Source organism: Homo sapiens, chromosome 21 (genome assembly GCF_000001405.40).
Source record: "Homo sapiens chromosome 21, GRCh38.p14 Primary Assembly".
Lineage (NCBI taxonomy): Eukaryota > Metazoa > Chordata > Mammalia > Primates > Hominidae > Homo > Homo sapiens.
The window spans coordinates 41,561,444-41,584,292 of NC_000021.9; the positions used below are offsets into that span (position 1 = coordinate 41,561,444).

General features: G+C 46.2%; 2 long non-coding RNA genes across 4 annotated transcripts in view, besides 7 other annotated features; one reads left to right on the plus strand and one right to left on the minus strand.

Annotated features, from left to right (window-relative positions):
* The window catches only part of LOC105372809 (uncharacterized), a 28,541-nt gene extending 8,640 nt beyond the window's left edge, over nt 1–19,901 (minus strand). For 2 of the 3 annotated variants that reach the window (XR_937738.1, XR_007067871.1), the window contains exons 1-2: nt 19,822–19,897; nt 1,464–2,440 (exon numbers count right to left, since the gene is read on the minus strand). This is a non-coding gene — a long non-coding RNA (uncharacterized LOC105372809). Of the gene's footprint in view, nt 1–1,463; nt 2,441–19,821 lie in introns of all 3 variants that reach the window. The other variant, XR_937739.1, reaches the window with a different exon arrangement.
* Nucleotides 644–1,144: an enhancer, noted in NCBI's record as "H3K27ac hESC enhancer chr21:42934014-42934514 (GRCh37/hg19 assembly coordinates)". NCBI's record gives its function as "activates a minimal SCP1, AML or CMV promoter by ChIP-STARR-seq in naive H9 embryonic stem cells {active_cell/tissue: H9 hESC(naive)}" and the evidence as "EXISTENCE:reporter gene assay evidence [ECO:0000049][PMID:30033119]".
* Nucleotides 1,145–1,645: an enhancer, noted in NCBI's record as "H3K27ac hESC enhancer chr21:42934515-42935015 (GRCh37/hg19 assembly coordinates)". NCBI's record gives its function as "activates a minimal SCP1, AML or CMV promoter by ChIP-STARR-seq in naive H9 embryonic stem cells {active_cell/tissue: H9 hESC(naive)}" and the evidence as "EXISTENCE:reporter gene assay evidence [ECO:0000049][PMID:30033119]".
* Nucleotides 7,138–7,711: an enhancer, noted in NCBI's record as "-60 kb ARBS fragment used in the pGL3 promoter construct". NCBI's record gives its function as "AR-responsive activation of a minimal E1A TATA-box promoter in transiently transfected VCaP prostate cancer cells, and non-AR-responsive activation in LNCaP cells {active_cell/tissue: LNCaP | VCaP(+R1881 androgen)}" and the evidence as "EXISTENCE:reporter gene assay evidence [ECO:0000049][PMID:24109594]".
* Nucleotides 7,488–7,510: a transcriptional cis regulatory region, noted in NCBI's record as "TM-ARE3 sequence that was quadrupled in the pGL3 reporter construct". NCBI's record gives its function as "androgen-responsive activation of reporter gene expression when four copies are used in transiently transfected VCaP prostate cancer cells {active_cell/tissue: VCaP(+R1881 androgen)}" and the evidence as "EXISTENCE:reporter gene assay evidence [ECO:0000049][PMID:24109594]".
* Nucleotides 7,488–7,510: a protein binding site, noted in NCBI's record as "TM-ARE3 probe". NCBI's record gives its function as "binds AR in VCaP prostate cancer cells {active_cell/tissue: VCaP}" and the evidence as "EXISTENCE:protein binding evidence [ECO:0000024][PMID:24109594]".
* Nucleotides 9,463–9,592: an enhancer, noted in NCBI's record as "active region_18483". NCBI's record gives its function as "activates an Ori minimal core promoter by ATAC-STARR-seq in GM12878 lymphoblastoid cells {active_cell/tissue: GM12878}" and the evidence as "EXISTENCE:reporter gene assay evidence [ECO:0000049][PMID:35858748]".
* On the plus strand, nt 19,032–21,444 carry PCSEAT (prostate cancer expressed EZH2 associated transcript). Its single transcript, NR_164474.1, has one exon. It is a non-coding gene; the product is annotated as a prostate cancer expressed EZH2 associated transcript (long non-coding RNA).
* Nucleotides 19,589–20,788: an enhancer, noted in NCBI's record as "CDK7 strongly-dependent group 2 enhancer chr21:42952959-42954158 (GRCh37/hg19 assembly coordinates)". NCBI's record gives its function as "activates an origin of replication core promoter dependent on BRD2, BRD4, P300/CBP, MED14 and CDK7 cofactors, with strong dependence on CDK7, by STARR-seq in HCT116 cells {active_cell/tissue: HCT116}" and the evidence as "EXISTENCE:reporter gene assay evidence [ECO:0000049][PMID:35650434]".
* Nucleotides 21,445–22,849: the final 1,405 nt, after the last annotated feature.

Consider the following 22,849-nt stretch of genomic DNA (forward strand, 5'->3'; position numbering starts at 1 on the left):
CCTGTCGTGTGTCGACTCCCAAGGCCAGCACACCTGCACCATTGGATGTGCCTGAAGCCTGCCTCTATGGCCCTAGAGCAGTGTGGAGGGGACCCCAGCTTTCTCCCCACCTGGGGCAGGATCACTTGCCTGACTTGCAGGGGGATGGACGGCTGGTGCGCACTCTGTTGCGCTCTCTCTCTCTCTCTCTCACACACACACACACAGACACACACACACACACACACACACACACACACACACACCCTCACAGATTAAGAGCACCATTGGATTGGTCTGCTCAGGCCAAGATCACAGTCAGAGGAGAGAAAGAAGCATGACCCATGATAGCATCACCATCAACCATGAGGCATCATCACTGCCCCCAAAATAACACAGACAAGGGAGGGCCAGGGACTCAGCTTTGGGGTCACCACCATGGGGGCCAGAATGAGCCTTCATCACCCGGGTTTGCAAGGTGTGGGCCAGAGGAGCACTAGCAGGCAAAGGCTGCAGTAGGACCGCCCAGGGAGCAGTGGCTTGAGCCGCCCAGACACAGAGACACGTGGCAGGCAGCATGTTGAATTTTAACCAGAATTTAATGTAGGCAGTTTTAACTTTTGCCTTAAAAGTAAGAAAATAAACTAAAAAAAAAAATGAAAACAAAACAAACTACCACTCTACAGAATAGGAGAAGCGCCACACGGGCCTTCGGGCTCCACAAATGTGGCCTGGCCCGGCTCCTCCAGCCTCCCGGAGGGGGACAGCTGGCAGGCAGATCCTGGCCTGGAAGGTTCTGGAGGCAGCTCTCCTAAAGGAGTCATCTGTTCTGCCATTGAGTGGCCGTGTAATGCTCCCCAGCCCTGCGGTCACCCGGGGAAATCCCCTAGCAGGGAGCTGCGGCTGCTGTTCCCCTTCGGCCTGGAAGTTTGTCCAGGTTGGGGCAGCAATGGGGTGAATGGCCTGGAACCTGAATGTCCGAGGGCCTCGCCCAGCTGTACTTCCTCCTCTCACGTGGCCTCTCTGAGGAGTGAATTATGAAGTCATCCTCACTGCGGCCCTCCACCACTCCAGCTCCTAAAGGGCTGGCTTGGTCAAGCTGCCTCGGAGGGTCACCAGCCTTGGGATACGACACCTGCAGGCGGTGGGCGCTGCCCTGGAGCCACGCCATTCCATCTGCTCCGACTCTGTCTCACACTGTCTCCTTCCTCCCCTTCCTGGCCAAACTTCTCAAAATAGCATCTGCTGCTTAAAGCTTCTCACCACCTCCTCATCTGTAGTGCCCTGTAGCCTGGAGTCCACCTAGAACTCTACAACCAGTGCTCTAAGAAGGCCCATGCCCTCCCGTTTTCACCCACTGGCCCTGGTGTTGTTCTCACCCTCAGATTTTGGCAACACATGCCCCTTCTTCAGATGGGCACCTTCTTTTGCCTTCTCTCCCACCGGGACACTCATTCCCCCTCCGTGCCCCCAAGTACACACACCTGAGAAGTTTCCAGTTCTTTGCTCCGCATCTCTTCCCCTTTGGCACTCTGCGTGCTGCTGTCTGCCCCTTCTGAGGTGTCCAGATGAGCGATGCTCCATCTACCCTCTCTCCTAAGCTCCATCCAACAGCCTTGGGACCAGGAAGTTGGTCCTGCTGGGTCATTTGCAGAGTTGCTGGGGCACCTCAGAGAGAAACAAGATGGCGCAGGGGGCCATCAGCAGTGCACAGCCAAGTCTTCAGGTGACAGTGCTGAACAGGGGTCTCAGGGGAGCTGGAAGAAAAGTCTGTCCTTTAGGCCACTTGGCACAGCTCCAACCAGAGGTGACCCGCCTCCCACCTCCTGTTCTTCATCCTCCCCTTTGCTTCTTGACCTGCCTGAAGAAGACCCCTGGGTCTGGACAGCTGGGCCTCTGGCTGCCCCAGCAGGAAGCTCATGGTCCTGGAGTCCTGGGAGTCCAGGCTGGAAGATGTTTATCCTCCAGGTGTCAAGCACCCTGGGTGTGTCCAGATGGTGGAGGAGGAACTGGCTCTTGAAAGAAGATGTCCTTCCCATCTCTTCCCTCCCCAGCAATTTCTACTGAGTTCTAGGTGGACACCAGATGGCAAGAGGCAGAGTGCAGGGGGACGGTGAGAAGCTGCAGGTAGCGGATGTGATTTCGAGAAGTTTGACGGAAATGTAGGAAGGAGACCCTACGAGGACTGGAGGGACCCATGAGTATGAGAAGGGGGCACGGAGAGATTGAAGGGGACGGGTCCTGAAAGAGCCCGGAGGACAGAGAGTCCGGCAAGTCCCAGGCGCTGCCCTCACAATCCGATTGAGAGCCATGGAGGGGCTGCAGCAGCGGCTCAGGGTTGTGTTTAAAATTAGCTGGCAGAGTTCACTGCTGGGCATTGGGATGTCCTGCAAATGGCTCAACACGCAGGACGCAGAGGCTTTTTCACAGAATTGTTTGGAGCCATGTGCCTCTCTCTCTCCTGAAATGAAAGATTTGGGAAAGGTGACAATGCTGAATTTTCTTCTTCCTCTCTAGATATTCTTTCTGCTACATTTGATGGAGCTTCCAGGAAAAAGTAGATAGTAACTAAAACTCTCTTTGATTTCAGACTTGATACATATTTTCAGCTTGAGAATCCTTATTTCTCTGTTTAGTAAAAGGTGGCTGGGTTCAGTGGCTCATGCCTATAATCCCAGCACTTTGGGAGGCCGAGGAGGGCAGACTGCCTGAGCTCAGGAGTTTGAGACCGGCCTGGCCAATGTCATGAAACCTAATCTCTATTAAAAATACAAAAATTAGCCGGGCATCGTGCCAGGCGCCTGTAATCCCAGCTACTTGGGAGGCTGAGGCAGGAGAATCACTTGAACCCAGGAGGTGGAGGTTTTGGTGAGCTGAGATGGTACCACTGCACCCCAGCCTGGGCAACAGAGTGAGACTCTGTCTCAAAAAAATAAAATAACATAAAATAAAAGTAATAAAGAAAACATGTAAAAATGTGCGCTTGGGTGTACCTGGGAATGGTTCACGTTTGCCCTTTCGAAGGCAGCAAGGCAGAGAGAAAGGCACGTGGAGTTTGCAGTCAGATGGACCAGACTGGGTTTGAACTAGGGGTCTGGTCGTTACCCACAGGTGACCCCATTGCCTTCATCTCTCTGAGTCTCAGTTTCTTCCTGAACACCGTTAATCATTTCAGGCCTGGCATGGTGGCTCATGCCTGTATTCCCAGCACTTTGGGAGGCCGTGGCAGAAAGATCACTTGAGCCCAGAAGTTCAAGACCAGTCTGGGCAATATGGTGAAACCCCAACTCTACAAAAATATACAAAAAAGTTAGCTGGGCATGGTGGTGCATCAGTAGTCCCAGCTACTCAGGAGGCTGAGGTGGGAGAATCGCCTGAGCCAGGGGAGGTCGAGGCTGCAGTGAGCCTTGATCCCACCACTGCACTCCAGCCTGGGCGACAGAGTGAGACCCTCTCTCAAAATAATAATAACAATTAATTGTTCCAACAGTGCAGGAAATGCCTAGAATCGCACTCGCCCCACATGTTAACACCTTCCTGCATTCCCGCTGCATTTAGCAGACGGTTCAGTTTCTGTGGTGACCAGTGAGGCTTGTGAGTCACTTGTTCCGGAAAACTAGAGCAAAACGTTGCTCTCATATGCCTGGTTGTTTCCTTGTTGCTAAATCTTTTTTTTTGTTTGTTTTTCGTTTTTTTTTACAGCTTTCTTCTCAACCGACATCTGGAAGCCATTCAGTGCTGCATACACTTCCTGCAGGCTGCCCCTCTGTTCTCTCGCCCTTCTCATCTCACGTGATTGATCACCTGACAAGCTACCTGGATTTCCTAGTGCCCCAGAGTTGCCCTCAATCAACACACAACACGTTCCCATGTGGAATCTTCACCAAGTGTTCATTTCTTCCATTACAGGAAATAGTATTCTCTCCCTGTCCCCAAAACTTTGCAGTAAAGACCCCTGACAATCTAGTTCAAATGTCAGTCATGACACTGCTAGCTTTCTTTTTACAAGACTGTGTGAGTCCCCCTGCAAAAAAGTCAAACTGAATTTTATCACATGATATCTACTATAGTCCTTCAAGCAATTGTCACTGCATCTTTTCAGTTATGGTTACCAAAGGTTGTGTTTAAAATTAGCTCGCAGAATTTACTGCTGGGTGTGGGGATGGCCTACAAATGACCCAAATGACCAAGATTCAGTGTTGTTCAAATTGTGTATGTTCTGGAAAGGAGTCACTTTGTCTACTTGAACTTTAGAAGTTATTTACTAATGTTGCAGTGTGATACAATTGATCGTAATCTAGGCTGGGCACCGTGGCTCACGCCTGTAATCCCAGCACTTTGCGAGGCCGACATGGGAGGATTGCCTGAGCTCAAGAGTTTGAGATCACCCTGGGAAACGTGGGGAAACACCGTCTCTACTAAAATACAAGAAAAAAAAAAATAGCTGGGTGTGGTGGTGCTTGCCTGTAGACCCGGCTCCTCTGGAGGCTGAGGCATGAGAATCACTTGAGCCCGGGAGCCGAGATCGTGCCACTGCACTTCAGCTTAGGCTACAGGGTCTCAGACTCCAACTCAAAAAACAAACAAACAAACAAAAAAAACAGCACTCTGGGAGGCTGAGATGGGTGGATCACCTGAGGTCAGGAGTTCGAGACCAGCCTGACCAATATGGAGAAACCCGGCTCTATCAAAAAAAAAAAAATACAAAATACAAAATTAGCTGGGCATGGTGGCACATACCTGTAATCCCAGCTACTCGGGAGGCTGAGGCAGGAGAATTGCTTGAACCTGGGAGGCGGAGGTTGCAGTGAGCCAAGATCGTGCCATTGCACTCCAGCCTGGCCAACAAGAGCAAAACTCCGTCTCAAAAAAAAAAAAAAATCTAACGGGAAAATCTCAATTTCAGATTGATTTTTAGATTGAAAGAGGGAAGACAGCACGATGGGGGGAAATTGGATGAACTCTGGCATCTGAGCAAGTCTCCTTCTTGTTAAAACCCAACAGTGGTTTGGAATGGGATAAACCCTCTGCCTTGAGCACGTGCCTGGGCTCACCCAGCTCGCCTCTCGCAGTGCCTCCTGCCTGGGGAACCTGGCACACCTGTTCCTTTTACCTGGATGCTCTTTCCCCCTCTTTGCCTGGTTAATCCTGCTGAATCCCCCTCAACTCTGGCCTCAAAGCTCTCCTTCCTTGATGAGGTTTTCCCTGACCTCTCTGATGAGCTCACATCCCAGAGTTCATGCTTTTATAGCACCGCACATCCCTACAGTTGCTCTGGGGGATGAGCTGATGTCTGCCTGGTACCTCTAGGAGCCTGTCTCAGTGCCTGCTCTGTCCACCTGCTCCAGCCCAGGTGAGCCAGGCGTGGGCTGTGCCAAGTGAAGGCCTTGCCATCCTCAGCACTTTGCAAGTTTATCACAGTGAGTTTACATAACTAGCCTGCAGAGGAGGCACCACCGCCAGCTCATTTTATGGGATGAGGAAATTGAGGCTTAAGGAGATTAAATATATTGTCCAAAGGCCAACAGATGATGAAGGATAGGTTTATCATCAAGCTAAATATTTTTCAATATTTCCTTAAATCAGATCTGGCTTCGACTGAGTTATCCAGACAATTGTCCCAGACTTGGCTTCCCTAGGGGCACCTCGAACCCTAATTTGTAATCCAGAGGGCAAAGGGGCCACAGAGTCTTTCAAGGTGGCTCCTGGAGATGAGGAGCCCAAGAGCTGACTTCCTGTTTCCTCCTCAGTCACCTGGGTGGGATTGGTTGGGGGAGTTGGAGAACAGCAATCAGGTCCCCCCCACCACCAGGAAGCCTTGCAGAGGGTAGGGCAATGGGGGACCCCGTCCCACTCAGAGGGAAAGCATGGTCTGCGTCCTGCCACAGGAAGGCAGCAGCTGAAGGCCAGGAAAGGGGAGGGAGTTTCCTTTGCTTCTCCAGCAAAACAGAATGGATGGATGGATGGATGGGTGGGTGGATGGATGAATGGATGGATGGATGGATGGATGGATGGATGGATGGATGGATGGGTGGGTAGATGGATGGATGGGTGGATGGGTGGATGGATGGATGGATGGATGGATGGATGGATGGGTGGATGGGTGGGTGGGTGGATGGAAGGATGGATGGATGGATGGGTGAATGGATGGATGGATTCCATCTATTCTTGTAAGGATTGTAAGCCTTGCCAGTCATGGCTTGGATGCCACTTTTAGAGACTAGTTTCCATCTTCACTGGGGCTGTCTCATGAGTTACTACAATCCTTGTCAGTCTTTCATGCTTGAGTGACAGTGAGTGTCAGCTCACCCCTGTCCTGAAAGCTAAGACTTTCACATAGAAAGAAGGGTCCCTAGCGACTGAGGGTTTAAAGTGCCAGGAGGAAGTGGAAGGGCCCTGCAGACAATCTGTGTCCAGGGTCCAAACTTTTCTCTGTCAGCCCTGCCCCATTTGCAAGCCCCAGAGCAGCAACCTGGAAGAGCAGAGCCATAAAGAGCGGGGCTCCTAGAAGGGAGCGAGCCTGGCTTCAGGATCAACTTTTCTGCTGGGGCAGATGGCGGCATGCAACCGAGGTCCTAGGGCACGGATGTAAGCATGTATGAGAGGTCCTCCTGGGGACCTGGAGGGGCTTCGTGAGTGTCTGGGATCTGCCCTCCTCTGAGGTCTCTTCCTGGAGGGAGAATAACACACCTGCACTTTGTCACCCAAGGCCAGTCCGCTTCCGTCACCCTTGCCCCCAAGTCCCGCTTCCTCATGACGGAGTACCAAAAGCATGGGCCACTCGTGCCTTCAGCAATTGTTTATGTGCCAGGCACTGTCTGGGCAGCAGGATGTCGCTGCGAGCCCTCTCCCAACACCTGCCGCGCATGTACTGTGCCCGCGACTTCGCCGCGGCTCAGTGGGTGGGTCCAGTCCTTCCAGCCCTCGCCATCCTCCCCACCACAGATTCTGCCTCCTGGCACCTTTGCCTTGCCCAGCAGGCTGTGAGGCTTCGCATAGACGCTGCCACCCACCCGCATCCTCCTAATGTGACTGTAGATTGCCTCAAGCAAAGCTTTAAGAGCACACATCCACATTCGTTCTTGGACCTAATCTTTGCTCAATTGGTCTGGATTTGGGATATGAACTCTTTGGTTTTGAACACCCTGGGACCACAAGCCAGTTGTAAATGCTCATGACAGCCAGAAAGGCCTGGAACAGGAGGAACATAAAAAACAAGAAGGAGAGCAGAGGGTGGGCTGTCCCAGAGGAAGAGAAGTGACAGGAGGCTGGCACCTCCTCCAGACGAGGGCTGGACAGGGTGCTGCACAGATTGTCCAGGTATGGAGCAGAACCAAAACCTAACAAAGGCCAGGAGGGACCAGAGCCGTTTGGGAAAAGTGGAAGCAGTTTGGCGTCGCTGGTATTTTCTGGGTGTCTCGAGATGAGATGCAAGCTGATATTATATTAGACGCATTTGAATTGTAGCTTAGAGTGTCAGACTATTTTACAATGCTTTAAAATTCTAGCTTTGTTTCACAACGTTCCTATAAAGCAGACAGGGAGCACTGTTTTCATTTTATGGACTGAGCCAAGCACACGGCCGACTCGCTCCCGGTCAGGTAGAGTTAGAGAATGAGCAGAGATGCAAACTCTGCAGCTGCTGCTTCCCAGTGTTGGCAAAGTCCACAGGATGGGTCCTTCCAGGCTGGGGCCTTGGGCTTGTCACCGCCTCCTTTCCAGACCCCACCCTCGGGCCCCCTAGGATGCAAGGGGGAATGAGCAGAGGGGCCCAAGGAAATGGGGGACCCAGCTAAACAAGAGGAGCTGACAGAGCTGCTGGGAGTGGGAAAGGAAAAATCTCAGCCTTTGCCCAGGAAGCATCCGAGGCACCCAGACTGCAGGACATCTTCCAGTCACTCTCAATGGCCACCCACCCCTCAGGTGCACCCCCTGCCACTCATATGAAGCTGGAACACACAGATATCCATATCCAAAAAAATGAGCCTCCCCTCCCTTATACCAGATACAAAATTTAATTCAAGTGAATTATTGACTTAAACGTAATAATGAAAACTATAAACTCCTACATTTGGGCAGGCAAAGATTTTTTAGGCAGCACACAGAAAGCACCAGATTCTATCAAATAAAAATTATTAAGAAAATTAGGCTGGGTGTGGTGGCTCATGTCTGTAATCCCAGCACTTTGGGAAGCCAAGGCAGGAAGATTGCTTGAAGCCAGGAGTTTGAGACCCGCCTGGGCAAGATGGCAAGATCCTGTCTCTACAAAAAAATTTTTTCATTAGCCAGGCACTCCTGTAGTCTCCGTTACTTGGGAGACTGAGTCAGGAGGATCACTTGAGCTCAGGAGTTTGAGGCTGCATTGAGCTGTGATCACGCCACTGTACTCTAGCCTGGGCAACAGAGAGAGATCCTGCCTCTAAAAAAAAGAAGAAAGCAGCCAGGTGCAGTGGCTCATGCCTGTAATCCCAGCACTTTGGGAGGCTGAGGTGGACAGATCACCTGAGGTCAGGAGTTCAAGACCAGCCTGGCCAACATAGCGAAACCCCATCTCTACCAAAAATACAAAAACTTAGCCGAGTATGGTAGCAGGCACCTGTAATCCCAGCTACTTGGGAGGCTGAGGCAGGCGAATTGCTTGAACCTGGGATGCGGAGGCTGCAGTGAGCCAAGACTGTGCCACTGCACTCCAGCCTGGGCAACAAGAGCGAAACTCCATCTCAAAAAAAAAAAAAAAAAAAAGCAAGAAGAAGACAGGTAACGAGAAAATTAACAGGCAACAGAGAGACTGGGGAGAAAATATGTGCAATACATATAGCTGACAAAAGAATTGTATCCAAAATATGTAAAACACTGGTACAACTTGAAAATAACATGAAATAACATAAAATTTAGAAACACAAATGACCCAATGAAACTATGGGCCACAGGCCGATATTCCACATAAGAAGATACACAAATGGTCAATATGTGAAAAAATGGCCTTGGAAGAGTAACTTAGTCTTCCCAAGCCTCAGTTTTCATATCTGCAAAGTGAAGATAAAAATAACCACACCAGGCCAGGCGCAGTGGCTCATGCCTGTAATCCCAGCACTTTGGGAGGCCGAGGCAGGTGGATCACCTGAGGTTGGGAGTTTGAGACCAGCCTGACCAATATGGAGAAACCCCGTCTCTACTAAAAATACAAAATTAACCAGGCATGGTGGCGCATGCCTGTAATCCCAGCTACTCAGGAGGCTGAGGCAGGAGAATCACTTGAACCCAGGAGGCGGAGGTTGCCGTGAGCCAAGATCATGCCATTGCACTCCAGCCTGGGCAACAAGAGCGAAACTCCATCTCAACAAAAAAAATAAAATAACCACACTGTTCACCTCACAGTCTTTAAAAATTGTGGTAATAAACACACAACATAAAATGTACCATCTTAATCATTTTTAGACCCACAGTTTAATAGTGTTAACTCTATTCATATCGTTGTGCTCTCTAGAACTTTTTCATTTTGCAGAACTGAAACTACATTATACATGGACTCCTCATTCCCCCTCTTCCCGGCGCTGACACCCACCATATTCTACTTTCTGTTTCTGTGGGTTTGGCTACTTTAGACTCCTCATAGAAGTAGAATCATAATAGTATTTGTCCTCCTGTGACTGGGTTATTTCACTTAGCATCATGCACTCAAGTTTCGTCCGTGCTGTCACATGGGACAGGATTTCCTTCTTTTTTTAAGACCGATTAACATTCTCTTGCATGTGTATGTCACGTTTTGTCTATTTATTTATCAGTCCATAGACACCTGGGTTGCTTCCACATCTTACTATTGTGAGTAATGATGTGATGAACACAGATGTGCAAATATCTCTTCAAGACCCTGATTTCAATTCTTCTGGGTCCCAGAAGTAGGATTGCTGGATCATATGGTAACTCTATTTTTAAGTTTTGAAGGAACCTCCATACTCTTTTTCACAGTAGCTGGACCATTTTACATTCGCAAGAGTGCACAAGGGTTCTAATTTCTCCACATCCTCACCAACATTCATTATTTTCTATTATCGTTGTTTTGGTAGTAGCCATCCCAATGGGTGTGAGGTAATATCTCATTGTGGTTTTGATTTGCATTTCACTTGAGAAGCGATGTTAAGTATATTTTCATATGCTTCTTGGCCATTTGTATATGTTCTTTGAAGAAATGTCTATTCAAGTGCTTTGCTCATTTTTAAATCAGGTTATTTGGGGCTTTTTGTTGTGGCTGAGTTGTAGCAATTCTTTATATATTCTGTATATTACCCACTTGTTGCATATGTGATTTGCAAATATTTTCTCCCATTGCATAGGTTACCTTTTCATTCTGTTGATTTTACCTCATAAGATTTTTTAAATGGCTGTATTGAGGTATTGTCAGCTTACAATAAACTGTGCACATTAGAAGCACACAGTTTTGTAAGTTTTGACACAGGCATGTTTTGATATAAAGGTTCTTTTGATGGCAGGATGCAACCCAGTGCAACTCAGATAGATGAAAGCAGCAGTCTTTGCTACTTCCAAATGAGAGAAAGCTGTTAGGCAGGGCCACATAGAGGGTTGCCTGGGGACAGGGTAACAGCAAGCTGGAGCTGTGGGGGCAGTTTCTGTATTACCAGCAAGGTGGGAGTAGATGGTGTTGAAAGAAAACCTTCAGACAAATTAAACTTAGCAGAGTTATATAAGCAAAGAACAATTCATGAATTGGGCAGCACTCAGATCCAGAAGGGGTTCAGGGAACTCTGCCCAGCAGTGTGAGCAGCAAGATTCTACAGGCTGAGCTTTTATAGGCTGAACATGGAAGCAAAGTAGGGAAATCCCCTGATTGGCTACAGCTAGGCATCTGCCTTATGTGGGCATGGTGTCAGGAGTTGGCTGCCTATGATTGGCTGAGCCTCAGCTGTGGTACTCCTAAGTTAGGTTTCAATTTGTTTACATAGTAAGTTAGGTTGCAATACATTATGCAAGAACTGTAAGTACAGAAACAGCTTCAGGTAGTGGTCTCCTACTTATTTAATTTCACACTAGGTTTTGGGTATTCCTTGTGGATTGGCTAATTTGAACAGTTCTGCAGACTCTAAGGCACAGGGGCTCTCCCTAGTTGTCTGGTACCTGGCTCTGGGGTGATTAGCACAGGTATATAGCAGCCCCTGAATGTGATTGTGTAATCAGCTGCTTACGAAGGGGAACTGACTGGCCTCTGGCCAGGGCCTCAAAACTGGGGCAAGACAGCACTTTTACAAATATAAACATATATGTTATATGAAATATATATCAATGTATTCATGTGTAAAACTCTCACTATAGTCAAGATAACGAGCATATCCACACCCCCAGAAGTTCCTTGTGCCCCTTTGCCATGGCCCCCTGTCTGCTCACACCTTCTCATCCTTCATCCACTTCCTGTCACTGCAGGTGAGTTTGCATTCCCTATCATCTTGTACAAATGAAACCAGACAGTAGGTGCTCTCTTTCTGCCTGGCTCCTTTCACTCACCATAATGACTTTGAGACTTGTGCATGTCATCTCCTGCATCAGGCATTCTTTTTTTTTTTTTCATTTCTGAGTAGATTTCACTGAATGGAGATACCACATTTTTTTATCCACTTGTTTAAGAACATTGTAGTTTGCCTACAAGAGTTTGCATGAGGCCAGGCCCAGTGGTTCACACCTGTAATCCCAGCACTTTGGGAGGCTGAGGTGGGTAGATCACGAGGTCAGGAGTTCGAGACCAGCCTGGCCAATATGATGAAACCCCGTCTCTACTAAAAATACAAAAATTAGCTGAGCATGGTGGTACATGCCTGTAATCCCAGCTATTCAGGAGGCTGACACAGGAGAATCGCTTGAACCCGGGAAGCGGAGGTTGCAGTGAGCTGAGATCACACCATTGCACTCTAGCCTGGGTGACGAGAGCAAAATTCCGTGTCAAAAAAAAGAAAGAAAGAAAAAAAAAAGACTTTGCACAGACACGTGCTTTCATTTCTCTTGGATAGATACCCGGGAGTGGCATGGCTGGATCATATGGTTAGTGTATGTTTATTTTTATATGGTACAGACTCTAGATATGAAGTATGTTTTCATTTTAAAGTTATTATACAGCAATATCGAATTTGGAGGGTGAATATTAACAGCTATATAGATTCATGTAACTGCCACCCCATTCAGGATATAGAACATTCCTATCACTCCAAAACTCCCTCATTCTACCCCCTGATAGTCACATCTTTCCATATCCCCAAACTCTGGCAGCCACTGATTTGTTCTCCATCACTATCTTTTTGTCTTTTTGAGAATTTCTTTTTAAATTTTTTTCACCACTGATCAGAAGGCAGAGAGTTTTATTTAAAGGTGTGTGCCAGTAATCCCAGCTACTCAGGAGGCTGAGGCAGGAGAATCGCTTGAACCCGGGAGGCAGAGGTTGCAGTGATCCAAGATTGCACCACTGCACTCCAGCCCTGGTGACAGAGCAACACTCCATCTCAAAAATAAAAAAAATAAAAATAAAATAAAGGGAATTGGGCAGCATGTAGCATTTAACAGACTTCTTTCACTAATCCTCTGATATTAAACCTGGTTGTTGAGTGCACCAATAGTTTGTTCCTTTTTATTGCTGGGTAGTATTTCACGGTATGAATGGACCACAGATTGTTTATCTATCACCTGTTGGAGGACATTTGGGTTGGTTCCAGTTTTTAGCAATTGTGAATAGGGCTGCTATAATAAACTTTCATTTCAGGCTTTTGTGTGAACAGAAGTTTTTAGGTTTATGAAGTAAATTTCAGGAGTGAGGTTGCTGGATCATATAGGATGTGTGTTTAACTTTTTTTTAATAGACTTTATTTTTTGGAACAGATTTAGGTTGACAGCAAAATTGAGCAGAAAGTACACAGATTTCCTATATGGTCCCTCCCCCTCTCCTCCCCGACATGCACGGCCTCCCCACTATCGATGTTCTGTGGCAGAGCACACATTGTTACCATCTATGGCCTACATTTATACGTCATAATCATCCAAAGTCCATAGTTTAGGGTTCACACTTGCTATTTGTATTTTATGAGTTTTGACAAATGGATCATGACATGTCCACCCTGATACCTTTATACAGAATTGTTTCACTGCCCTAAAACTCCTCTGTGCTTCACTGATTCATCCCTCCCTCCCCACTAACTCTTGGCAACCACTGAGATTTTTACTGTCTCTGTAGTTTTGCCTTTCCCAGAACATCATGTAGTTGGAATCATACAGTATACAGCCTTTCAGACTGCCTTCTTTCACTGAGTAATAGGCATTTAAGTTTCTTCCGTGTCTTTTTATGGCTTGATAGCTCATTTCTTTTTAGTGGTGAATAATATTTCATTGTATGGATGTACCACAGTTTATTTATTCATTTACCACTGAAGGGCATCCTAATTGCTTTCAAGTTTTCGTAATTAGGAATGAAGCTGCTATAAATGTCTGCATGCAGGGTTTTGTGTGATCATAATTTTGTTTTTATTTTTGAGATGGAGTTTCGCTCTTGTTGCCCAGGCTGGAGTGCAATGGCATGATCTTGGCTCACTGCAACCTTCACCTCCTGGGTTCCAGTGATTCTCCTGCCTCCAGAGTAGCAGGGATTACAGGCGCCCACCACCACACACAGCTAATTTTTGTATTTTTAGAAGGAGTGACACCATATTGGTCAGGCTGGCCTTGAATTCCTGACCTCAAGTGATCCACCCACCTCAGCCTCCCAAAGTGCTGGGATTACAGGTGTGAGACACCACACCCAGCTGATCATAAATTTTTAGCTCATGCAGGTAAATACCATGATTGTTGGATTGTATGGTAAGAGTATGTTTAGTTTTACAAGAAATTGCCAATTTTTTTTTCCAAATTGGTTGTAGCATTTTGCATCCCACCAGCAATTGATGAGAGTCCTCACCAGTGTTTGCTGGTGTTGGCGTTTCAAATTTTGGGTACTTGAATACTTTTGTAATAATATCTCATTTTGTCATAATGTTTGACTTTTTAAGGAACTGTGAAACTGTCTTCCAGAGTGGCTGTACCATAAGCAATGCCTGAGAGCTGCAGTGGCTCCACATCCTTGCCAACATTTTGTGTGGCTACTCTTTTTAAATTTTAGTAACAAAGTTTCTGTCCATTTGACCCAGCAATCCCATTACTGGGTATATACTCAAAAGAATATAAATCATTCTACCATAAACATACATGCACATGTATATCCATTGCAACACTATTCACAATAGCAAAGACATGGAATCAACCTAAATGTCCATCAATGATAGAGTGGATAAAGAAACTGTGGTACATATGCACCAGGCAATACTATGCAGCCATAAAAAAAGAGCAAGATTGTATCCTTTGCAGGAACATGGATGGAGGCCATTATCCTTAACCAATTAATGCAGGAACAGAAAGCCAAATGCTTCCCATTCTCACTTATAAGTGGGAGTTAAATGATGAAAACATGGGGACACATACAGGGGAATAACAGACATTGGGACCTACCTGAGGGTGGAGGGTGGGAGAAGGTTAGATTAGAAAGAATAGCTATTGAGTACTAAGCTTTTGTACCTGGGTGACTAAATAATCTGTACAATAAACCCTGTGCCATGAGTTACCTATATAAAAAACCTGCACATGTACCTCTGAACCTAAAATTAAAGTTAAAAAAAAAAGAAACACAGGTTCTTATCAGCTTTTTAATGCTTACATAATAAATAGAGCACAGGCATGTTTCACTGAGTCCTCTGCTTGGGTCTCAGCCAAGCTCTAATCCAGGTGTCTGGCTGGCTAAGTTTGCATTGAGCTTTAACCAGAGAAAAGATCCACTTCCAAGCTCACTCATCTTATGGGCAAGATTCAGTTCTTTGCAGTTGTTGGACTGAAGGCTTCAATTTCCTGTTGTTCAGAGACCACCTCAGCTCCTAGAGGTGCCCTTAGTTCCTGCCACGTGGGTTATCCAACATGACCACGTGCCTTCTCAAAACCAGCAAAGCAGAGAGAGAGAGAGTCCAACAAAACTGATGTTAAATTTTACATTATTGTAATCATGGACATCTGGCCACCTTTGCGGTAGTCAGTTGGTTAGATGCATGTCACAGATCCTTCCCACACTCATGGGGAAGGAATTGAACAAGGTCATGAACTCCAGGATGGGGGCGGCTTACTGAGGCCATTTGAAGAGTCTGTCCACCACAAATATAAAGCTGGGAAAGGCTATAATATACCAGCGAAACCAAAACAAATAAATAGAATTTTAACATGTAAAGGACAAAGAAATTATTCTGGGAATAGAGGAAATTGTCAAAAAATTATTATGAATTTGTACATTCTTAAAACCAAAACAGCATGATGTAAAAGAAAAGCAATCAAAAATAAGAAAGCACATATGAAAAATGTTAATCCAATAGTTGAACTATTTTAATAATCAATCATAAATAAAGACAGGAAAACTTCCAAGACAGTAGAGACTCATCATGTTTCTAATTTTTTTCATCAACATATTCAATAAAAAATAAATAGAGTGTATGCAGGACTTCAAAGTTATGATGGTAAATTCTACAAGAAATGAGGAGTGATTAATTATCTTTGAGGAATTGGGTGGGAGTGAGAGAAGGATAAGCTGTTTTATGATATCTTTTAATAGTAGATACAGTTCTTAAATATATGATTATATTGCTTTAACTTTAAAAAAAAATAGACAATGACAGTGCCAGGACTTTAACTTCAAGAATGAAAAACAAATCTAAGAGAACCATAGAATGGCATTACCTTGACAAATATAACCTGTTCTATATTTTGGCTCCCTGTCCTATGGATTCAGATCCCTGGCTTTTCAATGAATGCATCTGTAGTAGTAGACTCACATTAATCAATGTAACAGAGACTGATGTATAAACCGTAACACTAACTTACAATTTATAGTGAAGTACACAATCACCAGAGACCATTTTTCTTCATAGAGAGCCTAGGAATCCAAACTATAATCAGAGAATTGCAATGGTAGATCTGGGCTCACAACAAGGGAGTCAGCTGGATAAATGGGATATATGGAATCTTTTGATGGAAGAGTCTTGTTTAGGGTATGGGAATATTTATCGTCCTTGCCCCTAGACTAAGTTTCTATAGGCCCAGCCAATCTTTGTCTCTGTGACCCTCCTTTTACTCTGCTTACTTGGCTGATAAAATTGGCCCTTCATTTACACACCTAATTGATTAAGACATGACATCATTCAGGTCGTTGTCAAGTTAAGCTTTCCTGGGCACTACTCTGTGTCATTAAGAAAGGTTTGCACATCTTTGCCCTGATCAGCTACTTCTGTATTGTAAGGTTTAACTCTCAGGGAACAATCGTAGTTTGACTATTTTCAAGTGGTTAAGAAATCATTCCACTATTTTCCCAAAGTACCAAAATAGATATTAATAGAATATTGGCTAAGATAACCCTGTTTCCAATATTAATTGATTAGTCTATTTTAAAATAACTCTGTTTAGAACTACTTTAAGTTATCTTTAATTAAAAACAGAGGCTTTTACTCTCTACTTATTTGATAGTGATTAATGAGCACTTTAAAAGTGCTTCATCTTCCTAAGAATTAAGCTCAGAAAAAACTCTAAACTCCCCATAAAATAAAGAGAAGAAATAAATTATTTTCTCAGCTGCTATCTCCTCAAATATTGCTTCTGTCCATTTTCTTTCTTCTCTCATCCTGAAACTCTGGTCCTTTCGCCATGTATTTCAAGTCTAATATTCTCTCTTGTCTTTCTCATCTTTAGTCTCTGCTTGCTTAAATCTGGCTATTTTCTTGTGGTCTATCTTCCAGTTTAATAATTCTCTCTTCAGCTGTTTCCATTCTGTTGTAAAACATGCTCCTTGCATTTTTAATTTGTTATTGTATTTTTCAGTTCTAGAATTTCTTTTTTTCCCCCAAAGCTGCTCTAACTTCCACAGATGAATATGTTTGGTATTCTATTAATATTTTAAATCTTGTTTTTCATATCCTTGAACACCATAAACACAATTATTTTGGAGACTGTGTCTGATAATTATTTTATTTAGGGTGCTTGTGTGCCAGATCTTTCTGCTAGTTCTAAGTTAGGTTGTCACGTCTCCTGTGCTTCTGGCAATCTTTGATAAAATGCCAAACAAGTATTTAAGAGATTGCTTAGAAACAATTTGAGACTTGATAGGATGTTGCTTTCTCCAGAGATTATTTTCTTTTATTTCAGCCAGGTGCCTGGAGATACCATCAATCTGGGATTACCTTAATACAATTTCAGTGGTGATATTTTTTAGGGCCACTCAGGTGTCTTGAAGCTGAGACAAGTATATGGGAGAACAGGTTTACCTTTAGTTCCTCCTTACTCCTCACTCAAAAGAGTTGGGATCCCAACTCAGTTTCAGGGTTTTATGAAGGCCTTAATCTTGGCAGAACTTGGACTCCTGCACTTGACTTCCTGCCTCATGAGGGAGCCAAAAGTGTTGCTCGGCTTCCCAGCCTCCTCTTCCTGAAAAAGCAGAAACCCCCAGACACAGCCAGCACCCGATGCCAGCTGCACTTCTCTAGATTTCTTTCTTTTCCTAGATCTTCATCCAGACAGTGTTACCACCTTGTTACAGCTCCAATTCCTTTAAACACTTTTAAAAGACATTTTATTCAGCTTTAGAGTTGTTTTCATTTGGATTATTGATCCAAATTATCTAGTCAGTCCAAATAACTAGAGGTGGAAATCACTTAAAACTCTGATGAATAAAGATGAGTGATGTGTCCTTTTTCCATGAATACATTTCTCCAAGCCTCAGTTTTAAAATGTTCCATACTTTAAATATTTACACTTCAGTTTACAATCTATAACCACCCACTTTAATAAACTCAAAGTCCAAAGTGTTAATTAGGACTCACACCACAGCAGTTTTTTTTTCCTTGCCATTCATTCAACATTCTTGCCCATAACCTGAACATCCTCAAACAAGAAATGGGGTTCATTCCTAACAAGAAAAACACTTAGATGGATAAACAGTTGTGTCTATTCAGATGGGACACAGCTCAGAGTTTTAAGAGAGGGTTTGTAATATGAACACACTCATGCACAGCTCTGCTGTTAGATGTGGGTTGTGTAGGATCATGAGGAGGTCTTTGGCTTTTAGCATGGCACAGTTAGTCTTTACCAGATGTGGGGAGTGGGGAAGAGAGGGCTTGAAGTGGATGTATCTGATGGTAAGAGATGGTCACAGGCCATGCCTCTCCCTAATCTCCCTCCTCTCTGCTTACAGAAAACCCATGCCTGCTCCATGAACCCAGCTTTTCTTCACCAGCCATTGGCAGCATGAATCCATGGCATGCAAAGCTAAAGGGGGTCAAAGGTTGGAACTGAGATCTGGGGTGGGGTACAATAAAAGGGCTTGGCTGCCAGAGTAAATGCTCTTCTGAAGTGGCGAACAGCCATATTAGGAGGCGGTCTGTTTCTGTGATGTCAGGAGAATAGCTTTAGCAGCTGTGATTGTGCGGTCAGACAAAGCTAGGAGAGATTCCTGTATTCAACGGCATTTCATTTTACAATCTATAAGGTGTGGGGCCCTAAAAGGGAAAATATAAAAATGTGGGATTGCCATTCAATTCAAGGGTCTTTAGGACTCATGCTAAAGCAAAGCCCAATCTAGTGAAAGAAGCACAGAGCAGGTGGAGAGCTCAGACTTCCACAAGAAGACAGAGGAATCAATCAAGTCTCTTTCCTGAGGACTTTGGCTGACGACTTGCCCTTTGCTTAACTTTTGGGGTCCATGACATGGTGCCTCCATGAAGAGGTTTAGAAGAAGGCCAGCACAGCCAGCAGCTGGAGGAGGGACAGGGGGGATTTTGGGGAGTCTTCGAGCCAGATACTGAGAGGGAGAAAGAGAATTTGGATTTTAAGTAGTTTTTCTGTGTGCTATGGAATAGCTTGTTCTGTTTTATGAGAATGTATAAAGACATACAGAGCTTCTTCCTTTCTTCCTGTTTACTTTTAGTCATCTGCCAGTGTTTTCTGAATACCAAACCTTGTGAAGATGAGCGTTGGGAAAGGAGTAGGAAGGTCCCAATTTGGAATTTTGACATCCTAAAAGCCTTGGGTGCCGCAGAATGAGTAAGCTGGAGGGTACTGTGTAAAGACCTCGGCTACTGCAGCAGAGAAACAGATCAAAAAAGTCAAGACCGGCGAGAGGAAAGTGATTGAAAGGCCATCACTGAAAGAGGTGACAAGCTTGGATTTGGCAGGGCAGGAGGGATGCAGAGAGGGACGGATGTGAGAGTCCACAGGAAGAAGCCTTCTGATTGAAAGGGTGCTTGGCTGTGGATGTGAGGGACAGAAAGGGGTCGAGGCTGTCACTGAGATCCTCAGCTTCAGCAAGGGGATGCATGGTGCCTTAATTTACTGTAAGAACATGGAAGAGGCACAGGTTTAGGGGGCGATATGGAGCCCCATTGTGGAAATGCAGGGTCTGAGGAGTGCCTGGCCTTCTGCTGGCGCTGCCCAGGAGAGCACTGGAGGAGCAGACGTGGCCTCCGGGAGATGCTGAGCCAGGGCTGAGGACATGAGATGCGCAGGGAGGGCAGACACTCCCACCAGGTCAGAGGAGAGACAGGGAGGCCAGCCCTGCCAAAGCCAGGCCTCAGTTTATTTGTAGAGTGAGAGCTTGAATTTCAGGATCACAAAAGGTTTTTTCCAAGAGCCAAAAGGACTTAGTTTCTAACTGTTCTCCTCCCTCCTTTTTGTGGCTGACAATGAACAACCTAATCCCCTTCCTTTCTGAATAATTCTCCCTGCCCAGTGACTCACCCAGGTGCAGATGAGACACAGAGCTCATGGTTGCCTCCTGTGAAGTGCAGGAAGGATGGAGCAGACAGACCCAAAAGCACTGGCCTCCCAGATGAATCAGGAGGGATGTGCAGGCTGGGTGACGTCTGCCCCGGAACCAGGAAAGTGCGGCTGCTTCCTCCACACCCCGCCCGCCGCCCAGGACCCAGGGCCCTTCTGAAAAGTGAGCATTGTGTTGTTCTTTAGACTTATTTTATATGAAAGCACATCACGCTCTAAGAAGAGTCACCCAGGCTTTCTGTTCTCAGGTGGAGCCTCCCTACACCCTACGCACACGGCGGCTGTTCCCCACGACACAGCGGGGGGCAAATGACCACCAGGAGCCAGGGAGTCCCAGGGAAAGGACGCAGATGGCTCGTGTCCTGGAATTTCATGGGAGCCATTTGAAATCATCAGCAAATGACGCCCGAGTCTATAAGGGACCTCAGCGCAGGGGCTGGATGAGACAGGGTGGGCAGCCACAAAACAGGGTGGTGAAGGCCCGAGGCCAGGAGGGCTGGGTTAGCACTCGGCCACCAGAGGGAAGCAAGCAAGCTCCCTCCCTCTCTCTCTTTCTCTCTGTCTATGTGTCTTTCTCTCTCCCTCTCTGTCTCTCTCCATCTCTCTCTCCACCCACACCTCCTGAGGATTGTTGGGTTTTCCCATGGACTAGGGTTAGACAGCCAGCGAGTCTGAACGGAAGGCGCCAGGTGTGGCAGTGGGGAAGTGAGGTGGGGCCTGGAACACAAGGGCAAGGGCCTCTGGGAGGACCGCGCAGGCTCGGCACACTGAGCGGACTGACTGCAGACCCTCCTCCCACACCAGGGGGACCACCTCTCTGTGCAAAGATGTCCTCACTTGATATTCTCAATTCTTTGAGGTCAAGGTTTTATTAACACTCCCTGAAAAGTGGGAGAGCTTAGTGATAAGACTGTATCATTTTTGCAAGACACAAAGCAAGCACAGCTGGATGGCATGTGCCAGCTCCCTCACCATGCTGAGCACTTTTACTCACATCTCACCCCTGCAGACAGATGCCAGTGTCCTCACTCACCCACTGGGGCAGACATTATTAGTTGCCAATGCAAGACCCATTTCCTCACGTCCTAACTAATAGAACCCCAACTGTGTCCAGGCAGGTGACGTGCCCAGCTAAAAATACTCACCTTTTCAGACTCCCTTGAAGTTAGTAGCGGCCACGTGATACTTCCAACAAATAAGACATACACAGAGATCTGCTGGGGCTTCTGTGAAAACTTTTACTTCCCTGAAACGGGTACCACCTTCCTTCTCCCATTCTTTCTTCCTCCTTGAAGCACAGAAGCAATGCCTGGAGCTGCAGCGGCCATTTTGTGATTGTGAAGCAATGACCTGAGGAATGAAGGCCAACATCAAGGATGGCAAAACAGAGAGAGGAAAAGAGCAATTGTCCCCTGATGGCATGGCTGGGCCACTGCCCCAACCCTGTGAGGCCATGTGACTCCTTATTACATGAGCACAGGCTAGTCGGGGTTTGTGCTATCTGCAGGTGAATGCTTGGAGATTGTACAAAAGTTTATACTGGAGGCTTTGGAATTCAATAGAAGTAGACCTGGGTTAAAGTCAGGAGGATATTTTGGCTGTCATTGGTATTGTTATTGCCGATAAGGACCCACAAGGCCACCACTAATGGGGCCTCCAGACCAGAGCCGTGCTGGGAGTTTTCCCTTGTCCCTAGAGCCTACGCTTGTGGCCACATTCCTGATCATGAATGTGACATGATCATGGAGTTCTGTGGGGTTTGCTGATGAGTTGGGCACCGTGGAGGCAGAATCTCGGCTTCTCTGGACCCCAGCTGTTGTTTATTTGTTTGATGTCCTTTTGTTTTTACTAAACATTAGGATGTCTTCCGGGTCTAAACTTCTCTACTCCCAGCTCAGGGTGGCACGATGGCCATTAGATGGAGTTGGAATGAGGAGGAAGATATATCCCACTGGAAAACTTTTTCTGACTCTGATAACATGACCTTGTATCATTGGGGTTGTGGGGAGGACTTCCACATACATAGAACACTATTTTGATCAGAGAAGTGTTTTATTTTTCTTCCTGTTTTACAAGAATGCACACTCAGTATAACTGGTATTTGTATGAACTCAGTCACCCTGAACCCAAATATTGACATTCCAGGTGAATTAGTCCTGCACTCGGGTCTGTTGGCTCACCTCAGGTGCCAGCATGTACTCGGGAAAGAGTGCCAGGCCCAGGTGAAGAGGGCCTGGGGCTCCTGAGGACGGCTGCCCAAAGCCCATGACCCTGCTCGGCGGGGCCCCAGATAAATTACTGGCGATTCTGTCCGTGGCCCTCCCTCTGCCAGCACTCAGCCTCAGGCCAGTCCTAGTGCTGCATTCCAGCTGATGGAACAGCAGGACACACGGCCACTGCTCTGCTGGACAGCCTTGGCTGCTCTCGTGTTCCTGCTGTGGGGCAGGAGGCAGGGCAGAGAGACTGAGGTTTGCAACTCTAACGACAGAGAACCAGATTGACTGTGTTTCGCCCCCAGATCTAGCTCAGCCCTGCTGGGTTTTCCACTCCGAGGAGGTCAGCGCCAAAGTGTTAATTTTGTATCTCTGGCTAGAGGCACAGTGCCTGCATGCAGTAGGCGCTCAGAGTTTGTTTCATTGAGAATTTTTGTACTATTTGAAATACCGACATACTTTTGTCTTTGAAGAAAAGGGTCCTTTATGTTATTTAAATGCAAACAGATACCTGGTGAGGCTAAAATCTTTCAGGCACTTGGTTTAAAACGCTTCAGGCTTTTAAACCATTCACATCACATGGTGTTTGGTGTTCACCGTGGGCACATTTTAGGCAGAGTTTGATACACACAACACACACATGCCACACACACCACACACATATACACACACATCACACATATACACACACACCACATACCACACACACCACACATATACACACACACCACACACCACACATACACACACACACCACATACTACACACACCACACA